Source organism: Homo sapiens, chromosome 9 (assembly GCF_000001405.40).
Source record: "Homo sapiens chromosome 9, GRCh38.p14 Primary Assembly".
In the NCBI taxonomy this organism is placed as follows: domain Eukaryota; kingdom Metazoa; phylum Chordata; class Mammalia; order Primates; family Hominidae; genus Homo; species Homo sapiens.
Window position 1 is genome coordinate 126,622,201 of NC_000009.12, and position 17,196 is coordinate 126,639,396.

Here is a 17,196-nt window from a genome sequence, read left to right on the forward strand (position 1 = left end):
GCAGAGCACCTGGCTGGCCTTGGCACTTGGTGAACTGGGGGGAAGTGTTGCTGAAGGAAAAACCCGGTTCCTGGAGCCTGGTTCCAGAAGAAACAAAGATGTTTGCTTCCTGGCCGGGCCAGTGCTGTGAGAGAGGCTTCCCCGGGAACTGTGGGGAGGTGGCTAGCTGGGGAAGGTTGTGACGGCCACCCAGAGCAACAGCGATGCCCACTGGGGCTGGCAGGAATGAGGAGGCCACCGAGCTGCTGGGTAGCTGAAGATGAGCTGAGCATGCTGAGACACAGGGCCGCCAGGGGTCCCTCCCCCAAGCGCCTCCCCAGGAACTTCAGCAGCGGTGACGGGAGGGGAGGAGCAGCACTGGGTTGGGATGGGACAAGTTGGGTGTGACTGCTGTTCCCCCTTCTCCCGCCTCCTGCCTTCCAAGGGGACTCTGTGACTCTTGTCGTGTGATTCCTGGATTGCTATAGTTACTGGGCTGTTGGGTGTGGGCGCCAGACCAGGACTGAGCTGCCCAGGCCTTTGGGGTTCCAGAGGATCAAGGTGCTCTGGGGTGACCTCCTCCAAATGGAGGGGTCCTGGGTGGGGCACATTTTCTCAAAGGAAGAGCAAGCTTGTTGGCAGTTACAGAATGGGGATCCAGAATGTCTCCATCTCCCAGTGACAAAGGCCAAGGGCCTTTAGGGAAGGACTGACAGCTCTTCCTGAGCCTCAGTTCCCTTCTCTGTGAAAAGGGGGTAGTAATTCCAATCTTACAGGGTTGCTCTGAGAATAAAGTGGAACAAACCCAGATGCCAGCCAGTGTTGGGCATGCAGTCAATGTATGTTTTCTTCCTTCCTGCTGGGAAATGAGCCGAAGGCAGCCCCGTCTGGCAGGAATGCATTGTCTGTCCTGCGTGGGAGGCCCAGAAAGTGCAGCCTCCTGAACAGGCCTCCCAGAGGGGTCTTGCCCACCCTTCTGTTCCTCACCCAGGTTGGGAGCCTGTGTTTTTATTTTTATTTTTTTTCCCTTGAAAAGGGCATGGGGCCGGTCTGGATGCCAGAGGCTGCTCCTCGGAGCCAAGGCCAGCCTGTGGATGGGCCCTCATTACTACTGAGACACGTAGGTCCCATTTTTTCCAAGAGACTCCTGAGCATGGTCAGTGTAGATGTGAACTTGCAGGAGCAGCGCCTTACTGAACAGGGAGGCAGCCTGCAGTAGTGCCTCTAGAAGGGCAAGGCATTGGCGTTTGTTGAGCCCCTGTGAAGTTCACTGTCTGTACCGTCCCAACCCTGTGGTTAGGGGAGGAAACTGAGGCTGAGCAGCTTGAACAACTTCCCCAGGCCCAGAGTTAACTCTGTAGCAGATTTTTCCCGGCCCAGAGTTACCCTGTAGCAGATTTCCCCCCCAGGCGGGTCCAACTCCCAAAGCCGGATGGGTTCTCTAAGTCCTCCTATACCGACCTTCCGGAAGGTGCGGGCTCTACATTGTTGCTAATCTCCCCCAGAACGCCCAGCCTGGGAGGGGTGGGGAGGGGGAGTCGCTACCCGAGGGCTGGGAGCAGGGTGTCACTGACCTCCTCTGCGCGGATTGCCCCCTGTAGGGCCAGCCCTGGCCAGCGGAAGAAAAAGGTTAGAATAATTGCCTTCCCCTGGGCGGGAGAGCTTCCTTCGACGTCCGGACACGCGGATGGGGCGGCTTTCAGCGGCCTCCACCCGCGCACCCCTCCAGGCCCACCTCTCGGCGGTTCGTGCAGCATGTTCTTTACTGGGAGTGGGATGACACCATGCATAGGCTCCTGGGCTCCGCAGCCGAGCCGCGGGCACCAGCGGCGGTTGATGAATTTCGGTGTCACCAGGGGTTTAGCCCGGATTTGGGAACCGCGCGCTCTAATACGCGCACACGGTCCTGCCCTTTCTAAAGCGCAGCCCTTTCACCCAGCAGCTGATTTATGGAGGAATTCGATCCTGGGACGCGCTAGGCTGAAGCCCGGAGTCCAGGGCCCTGCAGCAGCTTTCGGGCTTCTCAGCGTTTCGGGGACCCTTGGTGGCTCGGGGGCTCTCTTGGGCTGGGGTCGGGGTGCCCCGCCAGGTGGGGCCTTACGCGGTCCAGAAAGAGCCAGTGATTCTCCTTGGAGCCACTGCAGGCTCCCGCTGGAGGGAGTAAGACTGGCGGGGAGAGCTGGCATTTTCATTCCTTGTTGAGCACAGCCCTCGCCCCTCCCCAAGCCCTCCTGCCGACCCCCTCGGGCTGGCCAAAAGCAGCAAGTTCGGGAGGTTTGTTTATTGAGAGAACAGAAAATTAGGGGTTGCGGGGGAGAATCTAAGACCCTTTTCCCGCCTGAGAAACGTGCGAAGTCCCTCAGCTCCTGGAGGCAACCAGGCGGCCCGAAAGCCGAGTTCCCGGCGCGGATGCTAGGGCCGACCCCAGCCCCCTCCCTCCTGCGCCCCAGCCCGAGGGCGGCGAGTGGCAGGTTTTTTTTTATCTTGTTTTTTTTTTTTTGGATTTGGTTTGCAGGGGGGAAATGTGGTTGTATCAATCCACAAATATTTACTCTTAACAGACTTGTATCTGTGGAGATTTCGAACAAAGACAGTTTAGGGGGATTACAAAAACCCTAAACCCCGTTTTTCTCCCGGACTTGGTGCTTTAAATGCCAATTATAGGCGAGCCATATCCAACAGCAACGGGGAAAGGCGAGCAGGCTCCGGGGAGGGAGGTGGGGGGAGAGTCCGGCCATTAAATGTAACTTTTCATTATGAAAAGGATTTCGCCGGTTTTATCTTCTAATAAGATTATGTCACGAACACAAGTACCTAGGATGGTGCTGAGTGACAGGGCTCTGTCGTTTAATCAGAGGCTGTGCCGCTCAAACCGCGGGGCCCTTTGTCCCACGGAGTGAACGACGGAAACTTGCCATCCTAATCCCCTTATTCATGTCAAGCACAGAAAAGAAGCCGAGCACCTTACAACCGTGTCCCCTCCACCCCTTCCGAGGACGGCGGGAAGAGGGGGCTCCGGCCCTGTAGCCCCCTGACGCTTTTCGTTTCCGAGCGCGCTTGGGCCTCAGGAGCCGGAGCGTTGCCGTGGGGGCGGGGGAAGGGGTGGTTTTGCGGGTGCCTTAATTGGCAGCGTCTGGAAAATGGGGACAGTGACCCCACGACTAGAGGATGAATGGGGGGAGGGTTAGTGGGATGTGTTTGCCTCCTCTGACCGAGAGCACGGGTCCTGCTCTGTCCCCTCTTCCCAGGAAAGGTGGCACTCCGGGTGCACACCCACCACCCCCATTAAAGCGGGATTGACCAGAAGAGAGAGGCCGAATGGAGATGCCAGGCTGGGGCCCTCGGCGGGGCAGATTTCGTTGGATCCCTGGGACTAATGTCGCAGCGCTCGCACTCCTGCAGGTCTCCAGGGTTGGCCATTCCCGGCTGCATGCTCGGCCCCTTTCTTCCGAGGGTGAATTCCTTTGTTCCACCCCCACGGAAACCCTCTTCTCCGCCAGGCCCGTGGCGCCTTTCTCGCCACCTCCGCCGCCGCCGCCGCCACCCTCGTCCCACCGTTTGCAGGGCTTTCCTGCGGCGCTCTGGCCGCAGAGACCCAGCCCTGTCTGCCGACTGGCCCTTCGACGTCGCCGCCGTGCCTGAGCCCCGCTGCCTGCTCGGACAAGCAGAACTCCGGCAGGCGCAGCGGGCGCCGAGGCTTGGGCTTTAGCCGTGGCGCTCGCCTCGGCGCAGTGGGGAGCCGCGGGCGTCGGAGAAGCGGCCGCGCTGTTCCGGGTCACTGCACCGGCTGAAAAAACCAAAAGCAAAACCAACACCCAGAAACGAAGCCTGCGTGCCCCCGGGGGCTCCGTTTTGCTCCCCTCATGGACATGGGGGTGGGGAGCTCGTGGGGTTTCAGCCCAAAGGCTCCAGTCAGTGGAACCGGAGGGGGACTTCGGAGGAATTTGTCTCTGATGTCCCGGCTCCCTGGCCTCCTATTAGAACTCGTAGAGGATCCGCTCTGGAGTCCCCGTGCGCCCTGGCAGAGGTCGGGGACGCCAGAGTGCACGCAGTCTCCTGCGCGCCGAGCCCAGGCTCCGGGCGCAGGGAGGATCGGGCTGAGAGCAGGGTGTCACCTCGTAAAAGCGACAGGCAAGGACTGTTTTATGGGGAGGGAGAAGGAGCAGGAAGTGATGCTTCCATCTCTGACAGCATAGGGACCGGGAGCTCCGATGGAGGAAACCCTTTCCGGGCAGGACGAGTAGAGGGACAGGACATGGCCGGGGACCATGGGATTCGCTGCCATTAAGTATGGGACGGGCAGGCGAGAGCGGGGAAGGGGACCGATGGAGCCAGAAGCCCTGAGCTCACCTCCCGCCCGTCCTCTCCTGGAGCCCCCTCTGCAATCCCGGCTCAGTCGGCAACCGGCCCTTCCTTCCAGGTCAGGGGTGGGGGAGAGACTTTCTCCCTCGAAACACTTGATACCAACTTTGTTTTTTTGGCAAGAAAAATAAGCCTTGTTTGGAAAGGGGTGGGTGGGGGGCGTCGAGCGAGCGAGGGAAGGAGCAAGGAGGCGGCGGCGGAGCAAACTCTGCGGATTAGGTTTCAGCGCCTCCGCCCCACCCCCAGCCCCGCGGCGGTGATTTGTGTGCGGGGGTCTGTGACCCTGCAAGCATCAAACGGCCCGCGGGAACCGGCCGAGTTCAGAGGGACAGTGGGCCGAAGGGCGGCCTAAGACAACGCAGATGGTTCCTATCAGCCCGGCCGGGCCCGCAGCGTCCGCCGGTCCGTCCGGGCTCCTCTGCAGGGAAGAGGCCTTGGTCTTGGGGGAGGCCCCCGCCTGAGCATTGATAAGGGTCTGGACGCAACAGCCCACGCCCAGTCGGCTCCAGTGGAAAGGAGGCCTCGGAGACTGGTGTCAGAGGGTTCCTTGGCCAGGCTGTCCTGACCTCACTGGGCTCAGGAGGAGCCTGATGTGCCTGGTCACCAGAGTGGCCTCTGAGTAGGGACCAGCAGGAAGAGAGACCCCCCGGTCTCCTCCCCGTGGCCGGGTTACCCTGTCCCTGCCCTGCAGGCAGCTGAGGCTCATCCACGATATAGTGCCCCTCCCCCAGGGACCCTTCTTCCCTTTTTTACTCAGAGAGGTGCCCTGCCCTGCCCTCAGCCTGCTTGCTTCTGACTTCATTGATTCTATGCAGTGATAGAATGCCCTGCTTCTTCCTGCCAGCTGGAGCCCTTCTGCTTGGCTTGAGCTAACTTTGAGGGACTCTTCCATTTTCTCCCTCCTGTCCCCAAGGGAAAGCAGAGAAGGAGGCTCACTCATGCCTTGGCCCAGAGCCTTGCCTTGGTGCTGGGAGCCCTGCTTGGTCAGGGTGGGAGGGGCTCTTCCCCCACCAGCCCTGGCCTCTGAGCCTGCTCCCCTTCTTTCCCCAGAGCTGGAGCAGGGCTGTCAACCTCAGCAGTCCCAGGCCTCCCTGGCCTGATTTCCAGGGCCTGGCCTTCTGCGTGGCCTCCAGTGACCACAGTTGAGTGCAGCAGGGCCACACTCACAGGGACCTTGGGCTGCTTTAGGATATCCCAGCTAAAGGGCTCTTCAGGATCCCAGTAGAAATGGGAAAACCAAGGTCCAAGTGCAGCTAGGACTTGTCCTGTTGTAGCAGAGCAGAGGCGGAAATCCCAAGCTGCACGCTACCAGGCTTGGGGGCTGTGTGGCAACTCCACAGTCCTTTTGAGAACCCTCTCCCAGACTCTGGCTTTAACACTGGCCTACTCTGTCTTCCCTGGGCCCAGGTCTCAGGGATGGGAAGGTTCTTCAATCCCAGCTCTTTAAGAAGGGGTGACAGGTGGACCTGGACAATGAAATGATTTTGAGAGTTTTCTGGATAACACGGGGCCACGTGGCTTGGGAATGCGGTCTACTAAACTGGGACCTTGGGGGACAAAAGCCAGGTGAGGACAGTGCCACATCCCACCATCTTTCTTGTCTCTGACTCCCGCATACCCTGGGCTTGGCCCTTCCTGTCTATAGTGGGTCATGGGGAGGCCAGAGGCCTGGCTGGGGACTCAGAGGGCCAGTGGGCTGCTAGGACCTCTCAAGACTCCATCTCCCAGGGTCCCTGCCTCAGGGGAGCAGCCGGCTGGGTCATCTGTGCACAGAAGACACATCTGTCCTCCACATGTTGCAGGCCGAGCAGAGGACATGTGGTTTGGGTCGTGTTATCTTAATCATATTTATTAGCCAATCCTGGGGGAAAAAAGAGTTTGATATTGTTATGATTCGGAAAAGGTCCCCAAATCTACAAGGCGACAGATCAGGAGAGGCCGCCAGCAACAGCCAGGTCTCAGCTGGGTTCAGGACATGGCTTTGGAAGTTCTTTGGGTTGTCTTAGAGCGATGGAATCTCTACGCTGCGAAACAACACTTAACCGCTTTCATTTTCCCAGAGATCTGAAGCGAAATTAATTACCCCGCCTTGACTGATAGTTGTTCTGTTGGAGTATGGTTCTAATCCTTATTAACATTCTCTAAAGTCAGGCATGAAATATGACTTTTATACCACACTCTTTGGCATATGTTTTTCTTTTCCAGGAGATTTTTCAGGCTATCTCTAAGCCTCACTGCTGTTCATTATTTTTGCCATAGGTCTAAAGTTGCCATCCCCAAAGCTAGTCCCGCACAGAGCACAGCCAAGCGGGGAGGGGGGTGTGGGAGGAATGACACATCTCTGCTTGCGACGCAAATTGCTTCTGATTATTGAGCTTTGAATATTTTTCTCCATCGTGTTTTTATTAAAAACTCCAGCATATTTACGCTTGATGGTGTCTTCAATTAGATTAAAAAAAAAAAAAGCAGGGGTTCCCCTTTCTATAGCAGTATGTAAGGAAAATAGTTATGACCACAAAATTACCATCCAAACCTGGTTCTAGTAAAGCCAGTCCTGCTTTGACAAGCCCAGCAGGCTGGGTGCTTTTTTTCTAAGCGTTCCAGCTGCTAGGGAAACAGACCAGAGAGGAAGCCCACAGAAGCCTCCATTCTGCACGGTACTTGGGGCACCTCTCAGGACCTAACACTTCCCAAGTTTGTGAGCCGCAGAAGGAAGCCCAGCTGCTTGGGGCTTTCTGACGGGCCGGGCAGACCTGGAGCATGCACGACAGCAGCAGCAATAATAACGCCAGCTGATGCTTGTTTAGCACTTGTGGTCCATCAGGCACTGCTCTCAGCACTTTCCATTCTTTAATGACACTACGACATGGCTTCCATTATTATTTGCATTTTCAGGTAAGACAACCGAGGCACAGAGAAGTTAAGTAACTTGCCCAAGGTCACACAGCTAGTAAATGGAACCCAGGCATTGTGTCACGAGAAAACTTTCAGCAGCCTTTTGGGAGGGTGGAGTCTGGCCTCTGGCTGGGGTTGGTGCCCCGATGGTGGGCTGGTACTGCAACCCAATGTTGTTTGTTGAAGAAATGGCTCCTAATGAATGGCCAGTGTTCATTTTATGCTGCTTGTGGTAAAGCTTTGATGGGGATTCACTCACTGAATCTTCTTACTGCTCTGGGGGCAGGTTTTATTAATATTATTTCCCATTTTGCCAACATCAAAGCTTGACTTGGGTGCAGTGATTTCCCCAAGGTGGCAAGCTGATGATTGCCAGCTTCAGATGGCACCCTAGATCTTGATGAGACTTCCTAAAAGCACTGTGGTTGGCCGGGTGTGGTGGCTCATGCCTGTAATCCCAGCACTTTGGGAGACCAAGGCGGGTGGATCATGAGGTCAGGAGATCGAGACCATCCTGGTTAACACGGTGAAACCCCGTCTCCACTAAAAATACAAAAAAATTAGCTGGGCGTCATGGCAGGCACCTGTGACCTACTCGGGAGTAGCTCCCAGCTACTCGGGAGGCTGAGGCAGGAGAATGGCGTGAACCCGGGAGACGGAGCTTGCAGTGAGCCGAGATTGCGCCACTGCACTCCAGCCTGGGCGACAGAGCAAGACTCCGTCTCAAAAAAAAAAAAAAAAAAAGCACTATTGTTTGCCTGGGTTTCCAGGTGACAGAATTGGGGCTCAGAGGGGTGAAGCCACACACCTAGGGCCACACAGCCAGTGGGGGGCTATGCAGCACAGAGTCAGCATCTGCGGGTGCCACAACCTGCCCTTGGAACCACTTCTCAGCTCCCGGGAACCCAGGCTTGGGGGAGCACCTGCACTGAGCCTTCTCAGTGGGTCTGACTTGGCCTGAACAACTCTCCTGGCAGTAGGCAGGGCACATTTCATCACTGGGGGGGAGGGTTGTTATCTGTGACCTGTCTGGTGCCAAACAGGCATGGCGTCATCCCTTCCAAACCCCATTTTACAGGGGAGGAAATTAAAGCACAGAGAACCTAAGTGTCTTGCCCTAGGTCACACAGCTAGTTAGCAGCTGATGGGAATCACACTCAGGTGGCCTGTCTTTGGGGCGGTGCCTCTCAGAGAGAGGCTCTGAATCATCATCTTCGTCCTCAGTGTTGTCAGCTTTATGCATGACCACCCCTGAGTGCCTTCTGAGTACTTTGCAAATATATAGTGAAAGCAGCGAGATTCAGAGAGGGAAGGTGATTTTCCAAGGATTACACCACAGGGTGGGGCCGGCCAGGGTCTGCCCTCCTGCCCAGGATAGTGGAAGTCCATGCCATGGATGGGAGCGTGGCCAGCCCTCACAGGGCCACCTTTACCCCTGCAGTGCCTTCCTGGCTCCGGGCTGCCGGTGCAGCAATTCAGGGCAGGCGTTGTCTGGCCTTTGAAGGGACGGCTGTCTGAGTGTGTCACTTTGAACTGCAAAGGGGCCTGTGGTGAGGGCTCGGCCCCCTCCCACGTGCCCCCGCCTGCCCACCCCTCCAGCTCTGGTTCTAGTCGGCAGGCCTGGAGCCAAAGGGGCGGGCAGGGCAGTGGCCCCCCTGTGGGATGTCAGCCTGATAAGTGAGCAGCGACAGACCCCTGGAGGAGGATGGAGCTGGCCGCCCACTGGTTGGGCTGTCCCACGTGGCAAGAGTTCAGGCCAGTCCCCGAGGTGCCATCCTCCCACAGACATGCCCTTACGGCTGCAGAGAAACATCTGCCTGAACGTCAAAAGATTTAAATTAAAATAACAGTAATGATAGTAATAATAATGATTTGTAAAAGGAAACATCTTGCCTTGGGGCACAGGGAGCATCAGGGACTCAACCCTGTGTTCTGCTTGGGGAGTGCTCGTGGCAGGAGGTCAGGAAGAAGAGGTATTAGGTAAGAGACCTAATGCCTATTAGGTCTGGGCTGCTGATTCCCAGGAGTCCAGCTGGGGGCCTTTTGAGTTGCTCAGCTTCCTGGCTCAGCTCGGCCGGCCGGGATGGGGCAGGCCTATCCTGCCCACAGAGAGCTCCCAGGCTAAGTGGGTGGGTGGGGTGAGGTGGGGATAGGGGCGAGGGCAGAGCTGAGCAGAAATGAGGCCAGCACAGTCCCTGTGCCTGCAGTTATTGGCTCTTGGATTTTGTGACCCCAGAACTGATTCCTTGAGAGGCCGAGAACTTAACCAGATTTTTCACCAGTGCTTTGGAACCTCAGGTTTTACCACTTCCCGCTGTGTGACCTTAGGTTAGAGGCTTTAAATTCCCTGTGCCTCAGTTTCTTCAAAGTTTACTAAGGACCAGACCCCTGCCTCCGGGTAAGGATGATTCAGAGGGAGCAGATGCCATTCCTCTTTAGGTGAGTGGTTCCTGCCGATTTTGTTACTGATGCTCCCACAGTCCTTTGTGCTGGGCCTCAAAGGGGGCCACCTTTGACCATATGTATTGGGTCTTAGCTAGAAAAGGGAACGGTAGGTGCGCAGTTCGTACTGAAAGAAAGTATAAGGGTCTAGAGCTGGGCTGGACTCTGGGCTTGGCCTCTTTCTAGCTGTGTGACCTTTGACAAATTCCTTAGCTTCTCAGAGCCTCCACTCTCTCGCAAGCAAAATGCACGTAAAGAACCTACCTTCCAGGTTGTGGGGAGAGCGAGATGAGATGCTGTGTTCAAAGAGCCATACCAGTCCATGGGAGCCGTTTTTCTTAGAGGGAAGAGTTGTGGGCAGGGGCCTCGTTAGTCACACAAGAAGGCAGCAAGAGTGTGTGCCAGCTTACGCCAGGCAGGTGCCCGTGAGATGGGAGGCTGCAGCTTGGGAGGATTTGGGGAGGGCATTCCAGGAGGGGGCCCTGGCAGCAGGAATATTGGGGGTTAAATGGGTGGGCTGGGACAGTGAGTCTGGCGGAGGGGCTGCCGAGGGGCTGCTGGGACTGGAGGCTGCAGAGCAGGGCAGGAGCCTGTGGCTGTGCTCGGGCGTTTGGATTTTATCCTGTGGGCAGGAGGGAGCTATTGAAGGTTATTGGACAGGGGAGTGACAGGAACTGGAGAGGCACTTTATGGAGCTGATGCTGGCAACATGTGCCTGGGATTAGACCGGCGGGAGGAGGCTATTGCCACCTTGGAGGTGAGGGTAGTTGCGGGAACCAGAGAGGGAACAGGGCACAGGGAGGGTCACAGAGGCCTGGGGCTTGGAGCTGGGGTGGCTGGAACCCCAGGTACTCAGCTGCCTGGCTAAGGCCTTGAGGTCCTGAGCACTCTGGGCTGGTCCCAGCAGGGGTGACCCACTTAGCTGGGTCCCTGGAAGAGCCGGCTTGACCTGTGCAGCCCCACTGGGCCCCACACCCAGAAGGGCCCTTAGCTTGGTTTAATGCTCCTGCTGTCACACTCTTGAGATTCTTAACTTTTGAACAAGTGGCTCTGCCCCTGCCTTTTCATTCTGTGCTGAGCCCCGCAGGCGAGCCCCCAGCTCACCTGCCATTCCCACATGTCCCAGACACTTGCCCACATCAAGGTCTTACTCAGGCTGTGGTGGTTGCCCAGGAGGCGTCCCCTGGCCTCCATCATCCTTTCTTCTTCTGGAAAACTCTCCCTACTCCCAAGGCCTGGCACAAGAGTCACCGGTTTCATGGAGTCTCTCTGGCTCTGAGCCCCACCCCCGTCCTCCAGGCTTGGATCTGTCCTGTAGCACTTGCTAGAGGTGCAGAATCCTAGATCTGTGAGGGAACTCGAACTCTCGAGGTGAAGCCCATGAGTCTACATTTCCAGATGGCCCCTGGGGGAAGCCTTGCCTGCTGAGGTATGACAACCTCTGCCCAGGGTACCTCCAAGCCTGGCACAGGGCCTGGTACTTGGTAGGTGCATCCGTGTGTCATGTCATTGTGAAGGAATGAATGAACGGTGCTTACCTGTCCATCTGGATGGATGAAGCTCCCTGGGCCTAGCTCATTGCCTGGCATGGGTGGGTGGGTTGCAGCAAGTCTCCACAGGACAACTGGGAGGACACCTGGCCAATCCTGGGGACTGGCTGGGGCAGGGTTCTTCTTCTTCCTGAAACCTCGGGACATGGGGGCCAGGCTGGGGGATGGAAGGGCAAAATTAGTACCCTCCGGGAGATGGGAAGTGGGCAGAGGCCACGGAGTCCACCAGCACATCCTCCCTGTAGCTGTCCCCTCCTCCGAAAGGACTACCCACTCCTGACATGGTTATACAGCACGCACATAATTATACAGCATGATGGAAGAAGAGAATTTGATTGTTATTTCCAGAGCCTTTACCCTGTGCAGCCACTGATTTAAGGATCACATTATTTCATTCAACCGTAAGCCTCATAGTCTGTGAGGCAGAGCCTGTTATTATCCCCATTTCAGCGATATGGAGACTGAGGCACAGAAAGGGGTAGTCGGCAGTCCAAATTCACACAGCTTTGTGTGACCCCTCTGCCAGTTGGCCTCCGAGATGCCTCATTCCCCCTGTGCCTCCCGCTTTTGATGCCTCGGGGATACACCTGGCACAGTATGTACTCAGCGAATGTTTGGGGAAGGCAGGAGGGAGGGAAGAAGGAAGCCCAGCTCACTCATCCAACCGGAAGGACCCCTGCTCCAGGCAGGACTGGAATAACGCCAGGACTCCAAATGAGCAAGATAGTCCCAGCCTGGCCTGCCTGGGATAAGGAGCGGGCAGGGAAACCCAGAGGAGAAGCACTGACTTTGGCAGGATGGGGCATGTGAGGGCACCTGGAAGGCACTGTGGTGAAGCCCGGGACTGGAAAGCCTTCTTGCCCAGCAGTGACGGGGTCGCCATGGAGAGGCCTCACCGGGCAGGTCTCTGAAGCCAGCGTCAGTTTCATACAGGCATTCCAGAAATACATGTGGAACTTCCTCCCTCCACGCCCTGTGTGGGTATCAGGGAGGCATGGGGAAGAAAACGCTCCAGGTCCTGCCCTCGGCTGCCACCATGGTGCTGAACAGGGTGAGTCTAGCCAAGGAGATGCCAGGAGCAGACCCGGTGCACAGTAGGTGTTCAGGGACTGTCCCCATGGAGATTTTCAGTTACCCACCTCCTGCATTAGCCTCTGGTGCCAGGTTCTGCACACCCCCCCCACAATGCCACATCCATGAGCCACTGTCTTGAGTCCTTTGACCTCTCTGAGCCTGAAGTTAGTCATCTATAAAATGGGTACAGCTATTCCTACTGTCCAGGTTGTTGTAGGGATTAATTTTGTAGCGATTAATCCAGGGGAGGGCCCCGCTGCGAGTGTACCTGGAAGAAGGGGTGCTGCCTGGAGAGGTGGGAGAGCTTTTACCAGGCAGGTGACATTTGGAGTCACGAAAGGGGAGGAGGAGGGCTTTGCAGGTGTGGGGTACAGTGTGGGCCAAAGCCCAGAGACATGGAAGCCTGTGGCCTGTTAGAAGCACAGGGCTCCCCGCTCCTTCCCCTCTCCTCTCTGCCCCTGGCTGTCCTCTCACCCTCAAGCCGGTGCCAGTGTGGCTCTGCAGATTTGCTTCTAAGCCCTAGCACCCGCTGCATGCCAGCCAGGCACAAGCGCCATATGAAGCCTGCTGATGGCCTGGGAGACAGGTGTTACTGTCATTCCCATTTCACAGATGAGGGGACTGACACCCAAAACCCAGAGGCCACTTACCCAGGGCCACACGGCTGGGGAGCTTCACCACCAGGTCTGACTCCAGCTCCTGCTCACCCTTCCCCCAGCCCTCCCACTCCTCTTCTAGTCAGCTACTTGCCCCCACTCGCTCATTGCCCACACAGGGAGCAGGCCCGGGGCTTACACAAAGGCAAGGGAGGTAGACGGCTAGGACTTGGAAGACTGAGAACAGCTACATAGAGGAGGCGGGCACGAGAAGCTTCTGCAAAACCAGTTGCAGTCGGAGGAGATGCTATGGCGAGGGCACTCCAGGCTGAGGGCACTGCCTGGGCAAAGGCATGGAGGCTGACAAGCCCAGCCACGCTGATGATTGATGTCACAGCACAGTCACACACATGACCTTTGAGATTCGGGGGAATAACTGTTTCGGAGGAGGCTGGCGGTCTCAACCTTGGTTCCATCATTTTCTGCCACTTACCCTGTTTTTTTCACCTGTAAAATTGTTATTCTAAAAACCCAAATCAGGGGTTCCAGCAAACGGGGAAATGATAGCTGCTAGATGATGATTAGCCAAGTCTCACAAAATTGCAGCTCAAGAAACTGGGGCTCTGAGAGGTTAAGTTCCTGCTCCGAGGCCACCCAGCTGAGGAGTGAGTTGTTTGGATTAGGGCCTGACTAAGTAGCACCAAGGACTGCACATCTTAGGTGCCATGAGCTGTGGCCTCTCAAAGGAAAGGAGGGGAGGGCCTGAGGCTTAACTGAACACTTGCAGGCTGAGCCAGAACCTGCCCTGTGGGCTGCCAGGCCTTCAGGGGTGTGCAGGGAGAGGCGTCCCACTCCCATGGCCCAGGGAGGAGCACTGGGGACGAGTGATGGGAGTGGCAGCCACTTCCTGCTAGAAGACAGCCCAGTGAGTTCCCTGGGTGTCCTTTACCCTGGAGCCCTCCCCTCTATGAGCCTTTTGGACCCAAGACTGCAGGCCCCACTCTCACTGAGGCTAGGACACCACAAGCAGCTTCCTCCCTTCCTCCTTTCTGATATTTGCTGAGGCTGCTGTGTGCCTTGTCCTGGGTACTAAAGACACAAGGCAGACACAGCCCTCCCCAGTGGCAGTAGCTTGTAAAGGCCCTGATGGAGAGAACACAGGGCATTGTGGTCCCAGAGGATAGGGCTCCTCACCCAGACTTAGGGGCTGGAAGAGGGCTTCCTGGAGGGAGAGCTGTTGAAGCTGAGAGCAGAGGAATTATCCAGGGAAAGAGGGCAGGAGAGCAGGTTTCAGGCAAAGATCAGCATGCACAAGGGCCTGGAGAGGTCAGGTCACAAAAGGTCTTGAAGTCTGTGCTAGAGAGTCTGGCCTTTACTCCAGGGCCCCTGGAAGCCATGAAAAGGTTCTAAGCAGGGGGGTGTCATGTCAGATTTGAGGTTACAACATGCACTCTGGCTGCTGTGTGGATTGCAAGGGGAGGTGGGGGGCCAGAAAAGAGAGTGGATGGAGGCTGTGGACACGGGGAAAGGGGCGCTACAAGGTAGTGTTCAAGTGTGTGCACCCTAGTGCACACGACTGCAAGTACACGTGTGCGTAGGTGTGTGTAGGGGGTGTCAGGGACTTGAGCTGAATGAGAGCCCCACCTTGTCCTCTAGGTCAGGGCTCACCCAGCATCCGGCACAGGGAATGGCCCATGGTAGAGACTCAGTGAATATGTGCAGTTCAGATCTCAGTGGGCACCAGGCGTCCGTGGCTGTGTGTGCGTGCATGCAGGCACATGTATGTGCGAGTGTGTCTCTAGAGATGTATGTGCACATGACAAGTGGTGAGGTGGCATCTCTCTGGCCATACTCCCTGGGTGGGACCCAGGAAGCCTTGGGCAAGAGGGTAGGCAGCGGTTGGCCTGGTCTGGACTGGCCCAGCCTGGCATAGGACACCTTGCACCCAGCCAGAGGCCACCAGCATAAGCTCTGCTTAGCTTTTGTGCCAGTGCTATCAGTCAGGGAGTTATCGCTGCTGCAAGCATACCTGCCTTACTCACTGCAGCTGAGCTGATCACAGGCAGTGGTGGGCGGTGGCACTGTGCTCTGGAACCGGCAGCATCTGGAGAGGCAGGCTCAGCTCCTCCTTGGGGACTCTGGCTTATTCTTCTGAATTCAGATGCCAGAGCATACGGCAGGAGCAGCGCCTGTGTCAGTGTGTGTGTGTCAGTGTGTGTGTCCCTGTGTGTGCTGTGGGTGTGTCCCTGAGCCTGCACGTCACCCTCTGTGCCTGTGGCTGAGGGTGCCCACCTGTCACTTTGTGAGCACAGCTTAGGGTGCCCTGTATCTGTGTGCACTGGTGCAGTCAGGCATTTGCGTGTGCATTTGTGTGTGGGGGTGGGGGGTTGTGGGTGATTCTGTGGTGTGTGGCATACAGGTTCATCCTGAGGATGCTGTGTGAGTCTGGGTGTCCGTGTGGTGTTGGCCATTGTGGGCTAATGTGTCAGGGCATGGGAAGGGCGTGCACCTGTGTCACTGTGGGCCCTGCGGGTGTGATGTATGGATGTGGGCTGGGTGTGACAGGCAGAGCAGCAGATGGCCAATCCTGGCCTGTGACGTCCATGACCAAGGCTCCGAGAGCCAGCCCAGGTTTCGGCGGGAATTTCCTTTCACCTCTATCACGTGCAGGGGAGGGCGGGGTGATGATGGGTGACTGCCTTCAGGGACTGTGGTGCCTGTCCTCCCCCCCCCCCGCCCCCCGCTCTCTGTACTGGGAACAGTACAGTACCCTCCCCTCCTCTCTGTCTTCTCAGGAACTTGGCCCTGCTGTAGCCTCAGGGCCAAAGGGATGGACACCCAGGGCCCCCTCCGACCATGGGCCCTAAACCCCGAGAGGACGCACAATCCCCACTCCTCCCGCTCCGCAGCCCTGCCCGGGGACCTGCTTTGGCCCATGGCAGGCAGCCTTGTCCAGGCTGGGATCTCAGGGTCTGGAAGCGCCCAGGCTGCCTGGGGAAGCATGGGGAGAGGGGGCAGCAGTTCCAGGGCAGGGGGCAGGTTCCCGAAGCCTGAGGAGCTCCTGGCCCAGGTGAGCCCCTCTCTGCTGGTGTCCCTGGCAGGTGGGTCCCGACAGGAATGCTCCGGTGGGGGTGCCCTGCTGCTGTGCCCTCCCAGGTGCACCTGCCCATCTCTCCCAACAGGTGTGCCCTGACAGGTGTGCCCGGATGGAGTTTCCCTGGGAGGAGCAAGGTGAACGACGGGGCCTCCAGGGCTCCCCAGGACTCCCTGCAGCCTCTGCACCACCCTGCAGCCCAGGAGGCCAGTGCCCTCCCTGCTGCCACTGGCTGCCCTGCCCGCAGCCCTGCCACCCTGGGGAGCTGACCCCGACCCCACCCGGCCCCCCACGTCCCAGCTCGGGGGCTCACAAAGGGAGAGGAGGGAAGAGCAAAATCGCAGAGATTTGTCTTGTCTGGGGCTGACAGCGGAGCGAGTGATTGCCAGGCCCGCTTGGCAGTTTTTAATCATTTTATCTCTGTTCTCGGCTCTCGGGGGAGACAGCCAGTGCTTAGCAGTCTGCTCAGAAAGACCTCGGGGCGCGTGGCGCAGCGGCGGCTCGGAGCTCCCATTATTAGCTGTGCTCTTCGGAGCGCGCTCCGATCTCTCCCGGGGGAGCCGGTGAAAAATTAACACGGGCCGGCGGCGCGGGCGCCCGATGTAACTGTAATTACTCCATTGATATTCCTCACACAATAGCGCTGTCATCAGTCATTTACATAAACTTTCTCTCCCCAGGACGGGCGGAGGTGCCTAATCCTATTGGGCGCTTCCACTGCATGCATTATACATGGCAGCTCCTAGGTGCGGACTGAGGGAGGGGCGGATAGCCGGGCTCTAGGTGAGGAGGGAGGGAATAATTGGGAAGGAGAATTGGAGAGGAGAGAGAAGGGGGAGGAGAGGAGGAAAGGGGAGGGGAAAGGAGAGTTGGGAAGGAGAATTGGAGAGGAGAGAAGAGGCTGGTAGGAGAAGAGGGGAGGGGAGGGGAAGGAAGGGAATAATTGGACAAGAGAAAAGGAGAGGAAAGAGAGGAGGGGAGGGAGAGACAGTGAGGCAGGGGCAGAGCCAGAAGCTATCTCTAGAGGGTGGGGCCCCCAGATGGGCTGGAGCCCAGTGGCGCTGGGGTCCCGCTTTGCCGGGTGAGGGTCCCTCTGCATCCTGGGGCCGGTCCCCGAGGGCTCGGTAATGGGGCTCCCAGCCAGCCTGCCCCTCCATCATCTGTCTGGCCTGGAGCAGGTGAATCTGATTCTCCAGGGGCCTCG

The 17,196-nt window shown here is 57.5% G+C and overlaps 1 protein-coding gene across 3 annotated transcripts in view, besides 4 other annotated features; it reads left to right on the plus strand.

The window, feature by feature from the left end:
* Positions 1 to 17,196, plus strand: part of LMX1B (LIM homeobox transcription factor 1 beta) — an 87,105-nt gene that overhangs the window by 8,273 nt on the left and 61,636 nt on the right. The window lies entirely within an intron of this gene.
* Positions 3,324 to 4,289: an enhancer, noted in NCBI's record as "H3K27ac-H3K4me1 hESC enhancer chr9:129387803-129388768 (GRCh37/hg19 assembly coordinates)". NCBI's record gives its function as "activates a minimal SCP1, AML or CMV promoter by ChIP-STARR-seq in naive H9 embryonic stem cells {active_cell/tissue: H9 hESC(naive)}" and the evidence as "EXISTENCE:reporter gene assay evidence [ECO:0000049][PMID:30033119]".
* Positions 8,144 to 8,711: an enhancer, noted in NCBI's record as "H3K4me1 hESC enhancer chr9:129392623-129393190 (GRCh37/hg19 assembly coordinates)". NCBI's record gives its function as "activates a minimal SCP1, AML or CMV promoter by ChIP-STARR-seq in naive H9 embryonic stem cells {active_cell/tissue: H9 hESC(naive)}" and the evidence as "EXISTENCE:reporter gene assay evidence [ECO:0000049][PMID:30033119]".
* Positions 8,712 to 9,279: an enhancer, noted in NCBI's record as "H3K4me1 hESC enhancer chr9:129393191-129393758 (GRCh37/hg19 assembly coordinates)". NCBI's record gives its function as "activates a minimal SCP1, AML or CMV promoter by ChIP-STARR-seq in naive H9 embryonic stem cells {active_cell/tissue: H9 hESC(naive)}" and the evidence as "EXISTENCE:reporter gene assay evidence [ECO:0000049][PMID:30033119]".
* Positions 14,499 to 14,999: an enhancer, noted in NCBI's record as "H3K4me1 hESC enhancer chr9:129398978-129399478 (GRCh37/hg19 assembly coordinates)". NCBI's record gives its function as "activates a minimal SCP1, AML or CMV promoter by ChIP-STARR-seq in naive H9 embryonic stem cells {active_cell/tissue: H9 hESC(naive)}" and the evidence as "EXISTENCE:reporter gene assay evidence [ECO:0000049][PMID:30033119]".